Genomic DNA, 12610 nt, shown 5'->3' on the forward strand with positions numbered 1-12610 from the left:
AGGATTTTATTTCTCCTTCACTTATGAAGCTTAGTTTGGCTGGATATGAAATTCTGGGTTGAAAATTCTTTTCTTTAAGAATGTTGAATATTGGCCCCCACTCTCTTCTGGCTTGTAGAGTTTCTGCCAAGAAATCCACTGTTACACTGATGGTCTTCCCTTTGTGCGTTACCCAACTTTTCTCTCTGGTTGCCCTTAACTTTTTTCCCTTCATTTCAACCTTGGAGAATCTGATTCCCTTCCAAAATGGCCAAATAGGAACAGCTCCAGTCTGCAGCTCCCAGTGTGATCAACGCAGAACACGCATGATTACTGCATTTCCAACTGAGGTTCCTGGTTCATCACACTGGGACTGTTGGACAGGGGGTGTAGCCCATGGAGGGCAAGCCGAAGCAGGGTGGTGCATTGTCTGAACCAGGAAGTGCAAGGGTTCAGGGGATTTCCCTTTCCTAACCAAGGGAATCCGTACCTTCGCCAAAGACTGTACCTGGAAAAACAGGACACTCCTGCCCAAATACTGTGCTTTTCCAATGGTCTTAGCAAACGGCACACCAGGAGATTATATCCCATGCCGGGTTCAGCAAGTCCCACTCCCATGGAGCCTTGCTCACTGCTAGTGCAGCAGTCTGAGATCAACCTGCAAGGCAGTAGCCTGTCAGGGAGAGGGGCATCTGCCATTACTGAGCCTTCAGTAGGTAAACAAAGCAGCCTGGAAGCTCAAACTGGGCGGAGCCTACCACAGCTCAGCAAGGCTACTGCCTCTGTAGACTCCACCTATGGGGGCAGGGCATAGCTGAACAAAAGGCAGCAGAAACTTCTGCAGACTTAAACGTCCCTGTCTGACAGCCCTAAAGAGAGCAGTGGTTCTCCCAGCATGGTGTTTGAGCTCAGAGAACAGACAGACTGCCTCCTCAAGTGGGTCCCTGACCCCCGTGTAGCCTAACTGGGAGAGACCTCCCAGTAGTGGCCGACTGACACCTCATACAGGCAGGTGCCCCTCTGGGACGAAGCTTCCAGAGGAAGGATTGGGCAGCAATATTTGCTGTTCTGCAATATTTGCTGTTCTGCAGCCTCTGCTGGTAATACCTAGGCAAACAGGGTCTGGAGTGGACCACCAGCAAACTCCAACTGACCTGCGGATGACTGTTAGAAGGAAAATGAACAAGCAGAAAGGAATAGCATCAACATCAACAAAAAGGACAAAAAAGGACATCCACACCAAAACCCCATCTGTATGTCACCAACATCAAAGACCAAAGGTAGAGAAAACCAAAAAGATGAGGAGAAACCAGAGCAGAAAAGCTGAAAACTCTGAAAACCAGAGTGCTTCTTCCTCCTCCAAAGGATTGCAGCCCCTCGCCAGCAACAGAACAAAGCTGGATGGAGAATGACTTAGAAGAGCTGACAGAAATAGGCTTCAGAAGGTCGGTAATAACAAACTTCTCTGAGCTAAAGGAGGATGTTCGAATCCATCACAAGAAAGCTAAAAACCTTGGAAAAAGATTAGATGAATGGCTAACTCGAATAAACAGTGTAGAGAAGACCTTAAATGACCTGATGGAGCTGAAAACCATGGCACGAGAACTACATGACTCATGCACAAGCTTCAATAGCCGATCCAATCAAGCAGAAGAAAAGGTATCAGTGATTGAAGATCAATTTAATGAAATAAAGCGAGAAGAGAAGTTTAGAGAAAAAAAGAGTAAAAAGAAATGAACAAAGCCTCCAAGAAATATGGGACTATGTGAAAAGACCAAATCTATGTGTGATTGGTGTACCTGAAAGTGACGGGGAGAGGGGAACCAAGTTGGAAAACACTCTTCAGGATATTATCCAGGAGAACTTCCCCAACCTAGAAAGGCAGGCCAACATTCAAATTCAGGAAATACAGAGAACACCACAAAGATACTCCTCGAGAAGAGCAATCCCAAGACACATACAGTAACTATTTTTTTTAGTATGACTTTCACTCAACAGTATCATTAAGAATCATGTGTTGCATGTAGCTGGGGTCTGTTCATTTTCATTCTAATAACTCACCTTTGAATTCTTTTTGATGTGTTATGTAATTTGTAGCACTACATAATTTGTAGATGATGTGATTTACAGATAATTGCATCATATGTAAATAAGAAAATATTTTTTTTTCCAAAACCACTTTTATTTCTTGTTCTTTCTTGATTGCACTGTAAATGACCTCAATTATGATAGTGAATTGAAATGGTAACAGCCACTGTTTTTATCTCATTCTCAATTTCAGAAAGAAATGTTTCAGAAGGTCATTATTAGGGATGAGCTTTATTGAAAGTTACTTTTTGTTTTGTTTAGATTTGTAGATAGCATTCCTCAGAGTAAGGAATTTCTCTCCTGTTTGCTAAATATTTGCAAAATTAAAAAATTAAATGTTTGCTAAATAGGGTGATAGACCCGTGATGCGTCGTGATGTCTTATTTAAGGGGAATGCGTGGGCAATCTTAGTTTCATGGCCGTGAGGTAGGAACCAGATGCCGGATACAGTTCAGTATAGCTACCCCCAAGTGTTACGGGCCCAGAGCGAGGAGAGTAGCACACTTGCGTGGGATATTGATTTCACGGAGGATGGTGAGTGAGAAACCACTAAATATTTGCTAAATATTTTGGCATGGATGAATGTTGAAATTTATATAATGATTTTTCTATATTTATTAAGATGATTATATCACATGATTTTTCTCTTTTAATGCTATGATCTTACAAAATGGTTTCTGTTCTTTCCAATTCTATATTTTTCCCTGTTTTTTGCCTTTTGTTCAATTGATTGCATAGTTTTTATTATTCCATTTCGTCCCTCTATGAGTTTATAAATCATATACTCTTTCAGAATACTCACATTAGTGTACAGTTGGGCAAAATCATCCAACACAAAGCCTGTTTTGTATTGAATACCGTACTGAAAGTGAAAAAAAGGATAGTTCTATTGGTAATCAAAGTATAATTTCCACTGACTCAGTATCACTTTCACACCATCGTAAAGTCAAAAAATCTTAAGTTGGAGACTGTCTGTAGACACATTGTTCAATAAATATCAGAAAGTGTAAAACATCATACAATGAAAAGTCCTTTTCCTGCTTTAGACCTGCATTCATCCAGTTTCCATCCCTCTCAACATAATGTGTTACTTTTTAAAGTTTTCATACTGATCTTTCCCGAAATATTTCATGCATATGTAAGTCAATATAATCATTTTGTATTAGTCTGTTCTCACACTGCTAATAAATAAATACCCGAGACTGGGTAACTTATAAAGGAAAGAGGTTTAAGTGACTCACAGTTCCACATAGCTGGGGAGGCCTCACAATCATGGTGGAAGGCGAAGGAGGAGCAAAGTCACATCTTACATAGCAGCAGGCAAGAAGAGAGCGTGTGCAGGGGAACTCCCCTTTAAAACCATCAGCTCTTGTGAGACTTATTCACTATCATGAGAACAGCATGGGAAAGACCTCACCCTGTGATTCAATTGCCTCCCACCAGGACCCTCCCATGACACGTGGGAATGATGAGATCTACAATTCAAGTTGAGATTTGTGTGGGGACACAGCCAAACCATTTCAAATATGTTACTACTCTTCCATTTTTAAGTAAGTGATACATACTTTACACATGATTATGCATCTTCCTTTTTACCTTATATATTTAAAAGCATTTCATAGCTACACATAGAAAAATCTTTATTTTTTCAATAATGTATACGTTTGTCCCATATTATATATTATACTTAAATCAGTCCCTTACTTATAACATTTTGTGTTGTTTCTGATCCTGTGTTTTTATAAACCTACAAACATAATACAGATGTCATTTTGCACATGAGAGTTATTATCTGTAGAATAAATTTCTGGAAGTGGAGTGCTGAGTCTACAAGCAGGTGCATCTGTCATCTTGATAGATAATGTCACTTGCCCTCCATATGGGTTATACCATTTTGCACTCCCATCATCAATAATTGAGTCTGCTTATTTTTACCTATCCTCACCCACAGTGCCTAATACATTTAGATTTTTGTCACTTTGAAACTAAGAACAATAATTCTGTGTAACTTTTTTTTTGTAATTATGAGTGACAGTGATCATATTTTCATAAGTTTAAGAGAGATGTGAGATTGTTCATCTCTTTTGCCCATTTTTCCATTGGTCTGTTGGTCCTTATTGATCAAAAAATGATCATTCTCTAGCAAGGGTATTAGTCAATTGTCTGAACAAATGTTTTTCCTAGTTCATGAAATGTATTTGAATTTTTTGATGGGTAGGGTTTTTCTGCTTTGTGTTATTTGCTTGCTTCTGGTTTTGTTTGGTATATAGACAATTTTTCTTTGTATATGGTAGAATTTTTCATAATTCCTACAGTGTTTGTCAGTGTTCTTCAGACAAACAGAACCAATAAGATATATATAATTATATAAAGAAACTTATTTAAAAGGAATCAGCTCATACAATTAAGGAGTTTGGAAAGGCCAAAACCTGAAGGATGGCCTGGCAGGTGAGAGACCCATGGAAGAGTGGATGTTGTAGTTCCAGTATGAAGATTGTCTACTGGCAGAATTTCCTCTTACTCAGGAAGCAGTCAGGTTTATTATTATTATTATTATTATTATTATTATTCAGGCAAGTAATTGGCCCATCTACCTTATGAAGGTTAATCTGCTTTACTTGAAGTCCACTAACTTAAATGATAATCTCATCCAAAAACACCCTCATGGAAACATCAAGAATAATGTTTGACCAAATATCTGAGGACTGTGACCCAGTCAAATTGACACATAAAATTAACTATCACACACCCTTTATGGCTTCTGAATTTTTGTGTCATTTTTGGAAGATCCACCCCCACTCCAAAGTTATAAAAAAATCCCATTTTTATCTCTAGTGCATTATGATTTCATTTTTAATAGGTATATCTTAAATTCTCATGAAATGTTTCTTGTGTGTGTAACCAGACTCAATTGTCCAAATATTGTGGATTCAATATAATCATGATCATCTTCTTCTGATTTAAGATGCCAACCTTTTCCTAAAGTTTCATGTGCATTTAGATATCTTTCCAAGTTTTATGTTCTGTTTGGATTATTAGCCTTATTATGAAACAGAACCAGACTGCTTTAATTATTGAATATTTATAGAATATTTTAATTTCTGATAAAGTTAGTCTTTGCTCTCTTATTTGGTTTCTTTACTATTCTAGTATATAAGAATAAAAAAACAACTAATTTTATTACACTAAAATGCCATGTGCCATACTGGTGTTTCTATTAGATTCAAATTAAAATTACAAATTAGTGAAGATTGACATCTTTTTTAAATCTTCATTTCTAAAAATGTAGTATGTCTTTTCATTTGTTGAAGTATTCTTTTGCTTTTCACTTTTTTTTTTTTTTTTTTTTTTAGAAATAAGGCCTCGCTCTGTCTCCCAGGCTGGATTGCAATGGTGCAATCATAGCGCCTCAAACTCCTGGGCTCAAAGTGATCCTCCTACCTTTGCCTCCCAAGTAACTAGGATTATAGACATGCATCACCACACTCAGTTGATTTTTTAAATTTTTTTGTAGAGAAGAGGTTTCTCTTCCCAGGCAGGTCTCAAACACCTGGCCTCACGCAATTCTCCCACCTTGGTCTCCCAAAGTGTTGGGTTCCAGGCATGAGCTACTGTGCCAGGCTTCTTTTGTATTCTTTAGAGCTATTTCAGAAGCTTCTTTCTTCTTGATATAAGTCTGTAAATTTTCTTGGTACATTTTTGCATAGTTATTTTATTATTTTTGTTGCTGTCATAAGTGTGGGTCTGGTGTGAAGGTTATTGAATTCTGTATGTTAGTTTATAACCTGATACATTTCTGCATTTTCATACTGCTTGCAGTATGAAATATAAGATAACAGTCTTATAATTTCTTCTCTTTTCCAATTTTCATATCTGTAAGTTTTTTCTTTCTTTCTTTTTTTTTTTTTTTTTTTTTTTTTTGAGGCAGAGTTTTGCTCTTGTTGCCTAAGCTGGAGTGCAATAACGTGATCTCAGCTCACTGCAGCAACTTCCGCCTCCCGGGTTCAAGTTATTCTCCTGCCTTAGCCTCCTGAGTAGCTGGGATTACAGGCATGCACCACCATGCCCGGCTAATTTTTTGTATTTTTAGTAGAAACGGGGTTTCACCATGTTAGCCAGGCTGGTTTTGAACTGCTGACCTCAGGTGATCTGCCTGCCTCAGCCTCCCAAACTGCTGGGATTACAAGCGTGAGCCACCGTGCCCAGGCTTTCTCTTAAAATTTCATGAGATTCTAAGTCTAGTACGTTATTAAATAATAAAGTTAATACTTAATATCCTTTTCTTATGAGGATACTTCTAGTATTTCTCCATTAATTTTAACACTAGCTTTGGGATAGAAGTAGATACATTATCCCATAGTTAAGCTACTATTCATTGATGATTATTTTCTTGAGTGTTTATAAAGAATGGATTTGGATCATTCAAATGATTTTTTGTATCTATGGAGATTATTATATTACTTTCCCTTACTGAAATAAAAGTTATATCTATATATTTCTTGATATTGAACACCACCTTTCCATATCTGGAGTAAACTGCACTTGGTGAGAGTGATATTTTTAATTCAGCAGGGTGAGAATGTTTAGTGAAGCATTATACGTTCAAAAATTTGAAATAATCTACAGGTTCATTAACAGATAAATTGGAGTTACTTTAATAGGTGGATATATGTAAGTGGGATTAATATTGTATGTGAATGGAGATTAACAGATTATAAACATATGTAGCAAGGTAGATAAATCTTATAACTTTGCATCCTCTGACCCCTCCCAAAAGAAAAGCAGACACAAAAGAATATGTACTGTGTGATATGATTTGCATAAAGTTTAAACATGAGAAAATTTAAATGATAGTGTTTAGGAATGCGTATTTTAAGGAAATAATTATCATAAAAGTCAAAATATTAGTTACCTTTAAAAAACAGAGTGGGACTGGGCACGGTGGATGGCTCACGCCTATAATCCCAGCACTTTGGGAGGCTGAGATGGGCAGATTGCTTGAGCTCAGGAGTTCCAGACCAGCCTGGGCAACATGGTGAAACCCCATCTCTACTAAAAATACAAAACTTAGCCGGGCTTGGTGGCACATGTCTGTAATCCCAGCTACTTGGGAGGCTGAGGCACAAGAATAGCTTGAAACCCGGAGGTGGAGACTGCAGTGAGTTGAGATTGCACCACAGCATTCCAGCCTGGGCGACAAAGCGAGATCCATCTCAAAAAAATAAAAAATTAAAATAAAAAAATTAAAGAAGAAAGACAGAGACAGAGACAGAAAGTGATTGGGCAAATGAGGGACTTCCAGGGTGCTGATATGTTTAAATTCTTGACCTGGGTAGTATTTGCAAAAGTATGTGCTTTATAATAATTCATGGAGTTTTACATTTATATTTAATGTATTTTTCTCCATATGTGCATATTGCATTATGAAAAGAATTTAAAAATTATTTGCTTATAATTTATTTAAAATTTTCACATCACTATTCAGGAGTGAAGATGTCTATAGTTTTCTCCTGTTTTTATTCTTTTTTTGAGGTTTGATATGTTGATTATATAAAAAGAACTTGAAGATTTCCATTATTTGTCTTGGCTCAGAAAATGTTAAAAAATCACTGTATAATTACCCATTCTTTAAAGATTTAATAAAAGTTCCCTGTGCCTTCATCTGAGCTTGTTGTTTTTCTTGTTCATTGAAGAGATAGAGATTGTAAAATTTGGCCCATTTAGGTTTTTGCAATACTATGGGTCACATTTGATAAATTATGTTTTCTTAGAAAATTGTCTATTTTATCTAGGTTTTGTATATTTGCATCAAAATAAATAAAGTAATGCTGTACGATCTTTTAATTTCCTCTATTTTTATAGTCCCCCCTGAGCCCCCATATCATTTACTGGTTGTGAATTTGTACCTTCTCCTGTTCCTCCTTGATTAATGAAACTAACAGTTTTGGGATTTTTTTTTAAGAACCAACATTAGCCTTTCTTTATAAATTTATCTGATGATTCGTCTAATTCAATCCTTCTCAAACTTTGATCTCTATACAAATCACCTGGAGACCTTGTTAAAATACTGATTCTGATTTAGTAGGTCTGAGTTGGGGCCTGAGATTCTGCATTTGTAGCATGTTGCCAGTGATCCCAACATTGCTGGCCCCTACTTTGAGTAATAAGGTTCTAGCACATCTATTTATTCTTTTATATGTTTCTATCTATATTAATCTCTTTCTTCACTTATTTTTCTAATTTCCTGAAAGATATTTAATACATTTCTTTCCACTTTATTTTTCATTACTAATAAGTTTTTTATTTATAGTTGACATAATAATTGTATATATTTATAGAGTGCAGTGTTATGTTTTAATGATTGTATACCTTGTATAATGATCAAATCAGGTTAATTACCGTATTTGTTACTTTAAACATTTATCTCTCTTTGTGGAAATATCATACAAAATCTTCTCTTTTTGCTGTCTTGAAATGTACACAACATTGTTATTTATTACAGTTGCCTAGCTGTGTTATAGGACACCAGAACTATTCTTCTTGTCTAACTATAACTTTGTACCCACTGACCAACCTCTCCCCGTCGTGCTATCCCCTACACCTACCTTCCCCAGCCTCTGATAACCTCTACTCTCTATTTCTATGAGGTCAACTTTTTTAGAGTACACAAATGAGTGAGATCATGCAGTGTTTGTCCTTCTGTGCCTGGCTTACTTCACTTAACATAATGTCCTCTAGGTTTATGCTGCCACAAATGATAGAATTTCGTTCTGTTTTATGACTAAGTAGCATTCCATTGTAAACTATTCCATTCTATACACCACATTTTCTTTATCCATTCATCTATGGATAGGCATTTAGATTGATTCTATATCTTTGCTATTGTGAATAGCACTGCAATAAAAACAGGAGGGTAGCTATCTCTTTGACACAAATGATTTCATTTCCTTTGGATATATATAATAATGGCATTGCTGTATCATATGATAGTTCTATTTTTAATTGTTTGAGAAACTTCTGCATCCTTTTCCATAATGGCTATATTAATTTACATTATTACCAACAAGTCATAAGAGTTCTCCTTTCTCCACATTCTCTCCAGCATTTGTTATTTTTTATCTTTTTGATAACAGCCGTTCTGACTAGGGTGAGGTAATAGCTCATAGTAGTTTTGATTTGCATTTCCCTGATTATTAGTGATATTGACCATTTTTTGTCATATACCTGTTGACTATTTGTATGTATTCTTTTGAGAAACATCTCTTCAAGTCTGTTGCCCATTATTAATCACATTGTTTGTTATTTTGTTATTGCATTGAGTTCCTTACATATTCTGCATATTAACCCCTTGTTAGATGCATAGTTCACACATACTTTCTCCTATTCTGTAGGTTGTTTTTTCACTCTGATTTTTTTCCTGTGCTGTACAGAAGCTCTTTAGTTTGATGTAATCCCATTTGTCTATTTTTGCTTTTGTTGTCTGTGCTGTAGAAATACTCGACAAAATACTAAGAAACCAATCTCATCAACACATTAAAAAGATGATTCACCATGATCAACTGATTCATCCCAGGGATGCAAGGATGGTTCAATATATGGAAGTTAGTAAATGTGATACATCACATTAACATAACCAAGAATAAAAACTCTATGATCATTTTAATAGATGCTGAAAAAGCATTCAATAAAATTCAACGTCCTTTAACGACAAAAACTCTTAACAAATTGCATATCAAAGGAACATGCTTGAACACAGTAAAGGCCACATAGGACAAATTCATAGCTAACATCATACTGAACAGGGAAAAATTGAAATCTTTTCCTCTAAGACTTGAAACAAGACAAGAATGCCCACTTTTACCACTTACATTAAACACAGTACTGGAAGTTCTAGGCAGAGCCATTAGGCAAGAGAGAGAAATAATGGACATCCAAATCTGAAAGGAGGAAGCCAAATTGTCCCTGGTTGCAGATGACATGGTCATATTTATAGAAAACTCCAAAGATTGCACCAAAAAACTGTTAGAACTAATAAATAAATTTAGTAAATTTACAGAATACAAATCAACATATAAAAATTAGTAGTATTTCTATAAACCAATAGCAAACTCTCTGAAAAAGAAATCAAGAAAGCAATTTCATTTGCAATAGCTAAAGAAAAAAACCTAGGAATAAACTTAACTGAGGAGGTGAAAGATCCCTATAGTAAAAACTATAAAACATGGATGAAAGAAATTGAATAAGACACAAAAAAAATGGAAAGGTAACATGTGATTATGGATTGGAAGAATTAATATTTTTAAAATGTTCGTATTACCTAAAGCTAGCTGCAGATTCAATGCAATCCCTACGAAAATACCAAAGACATTCTTTACAGAAATGGAAAAAAAAATCTTAAATTCATATTGAAATGCAGAAGACTCTGAATACTCAAAGCAATCTGGAGCAAAAAAATAAATAAATAAAGCAACAGGTATCACACTACCTGATTTTAAAATACACTACAAGGCTATAGTAATCAAAACAGCATGGTACTGGCATAAAAACAGACATATAGAATAATGAAACAGAATAGAGAACCCAGAAATAAATCTATGCATTTACAACCAATTGATTTTCACAAAGATGCCAATAACATACATTGGGGGAAAGAGCAGCCTCTTCAATAAATGGTGCTGGGAAAAGTGATTATATTCAGAAGAATGAAACTAGACTCCTACCTCTCACGATATGCAAAAATCAACTCAAATTAAGACTGTAATGTAAGACTGGGCATGGTAGCTCATGCCTGTAATTCCAGCATTTTGGGAGGCCAAGGCGGGCAGATCACCTGAGATCAAGAATTCGAGACCAGCCTGGCCAACATGGCAAAACCCCGTCTCTACTGAAAATACAAAAATTATCTGGGTGTGGTGGCAGGTGCCTGTAATCCCAGCTACTTGGGAGGCTGAGGCATGATAATCAGAGGCATGATAATCACTTGAATCTGGGAAACTGAGGTTGCAGTAAGCCAAGCTTACCCCATTGCACTCCAGCCTGGGGGATAGAGTGAGACTCTGTCTCCAAAAAAAGACTGTAATGTAAGACCCAAAACTATGAAACTACTAGAAGAAAACATAAGGGATATGCTTCACAAAATTGGACTGAGCAAGGATCTTTTTAATAAGACCTAAGAAGGACAGACAGCATAACTATTTTATTTATTAATAATTTATTAATTAAGATTAATTTTAAAAATTAACATGAAATTAATGATTTATTAATATACATGTTTCTATGAATTTCCATAAGTCCTGCTTTAATAGTATGTAGTAGGTTTTGACCTACATACTGTGGTATTTTTATGATTTCTTTCTCTAGATATTTTGATATTTCAATATTTGTACCCTGTCTGAGCTAAGAGTTGTCATAACAGAAAACTTTTTAACATTTAGGTGCTATTGACCATTGTTTTCTGAATTTTGTTAATTTCTCATTTTTTGCATTGATGATACTGTTTCTACTTCTTAAAATTTGTTGAAGTTTTCTTTGAGGCCTAGTGGGTGGTTAATTTCTATGACTGTTACACATAAAGGTGTATACTTCATTATCAAGGTATATTTTGAGGCATATCAATTAGACTATATCTATGTCATTTAGCACTATATATTTTGCTACTTAGTACTTCTACACCTTGACTAATTTTTCCTACTGGATGTGTCAAAAACAGAAAGAAGAAAATTAAAGCCTCTTTAAATGGGGGAAAGAATAGGTTTTTCAACAAATGCTACCTGGACAACTGCATATCCATATGAAAAGAAGGGAATGGAACCACCTTTCCACTCCATACACAAAAATTAACTCATAATGAATCAAAGAGCTAAATGTAAGAAATAGCACTATGAAATTCTCAAAAGAAAATGTAGGTATAAATCTTTATGACCTTGATTAGGTATGGATTCTTAGATGTGATACCAAAAACACAAGCAACATAAGAAAAAATAGAGAAAGTGGAAATAATCAAAATTAAAAACGTTTTTCCTTCAAAGGATACCATCAAGAAAATAAAAAAATAACCCAAGGATTTGGAGAAAATTTTAACAAGTCATATATGTGATAAGGGACTTGTATTTAAAATAATATGTAATGAAAAAGGGGGGCACATTCCAAGATGGCCAAATAGGAACAGCTTCGGTCTGCATCTCCCAGCGTGATCAACACAGAAGACAGGTGATTTCTGCATTTCCAACTGAGGTACCTGGTTCATCTCACTAGGACTGCTTGGACAGAGGGTGCAGCCCAGAGAGGGCGAGCTGAAGCAGAGCGGGCATCGCCTCACCAGGGAAGCATGAGGGGTCGGGGGATTTCCCTTTCCTAGCCAAGGGAAGCCGTGACAGACTACCTGGAAAAATGGGGCACTCCCACCCAAATACTGTGCTTTTCCCAAGGTCTTAGCAACTGGCAGACAAGGTGATTCTCTCCTGTGCCTGGCTCGATGGGTCCCACACCCATAGAGCCTTGCTCACTGCTAGCACAGCAGTCTGAGATCAATCTGCAAGGCTGC

General features: G+C 36.1%; 1 protein-coding gene across 3 annotated transcripts in view, besides 1 other annotated feature; it reads left to right on the forward strand.

Moving 5' to 3' along the window:
• The window catches only part of ST6GALNAC5 (ST6 N-acetylgalactosaminide alpha-2,6-sialyltransferase 5), a 200067-nt gene that overhangs the window by 101332 nt on the left and 86125 nt on the right, over positions 1 to 12610 (forward strand). The gene's annotated exons all lie outside the window — the stretch shown is intronic.
• Positions 2340 to 2540: a silencer, noted in NCBI's record as "peak295 fragment used in MPRA reporter construct". NCBI's record gives its function as "represses an SCP1 promoter by STARR-seq MPRAs in K562 erythroleukemia cells {active_cell/tissue: K562}" and the evidence as "EXISTENCE:reporter gene assay evidence [ECO:0000049][PMID:32103011]".

Source organism: Homo sapiens, chromosome 1 (genome assembly GCF_000001405.40).
Source record: "Homo sapiens chromosome 1, GRCh38.p14 Primary Assembly".
Lineage (NCBI taxonomy): Eukaryota > Metazoa > Chordata > Mammalia > Primates > Hominidae > Homo > Homo sapiens.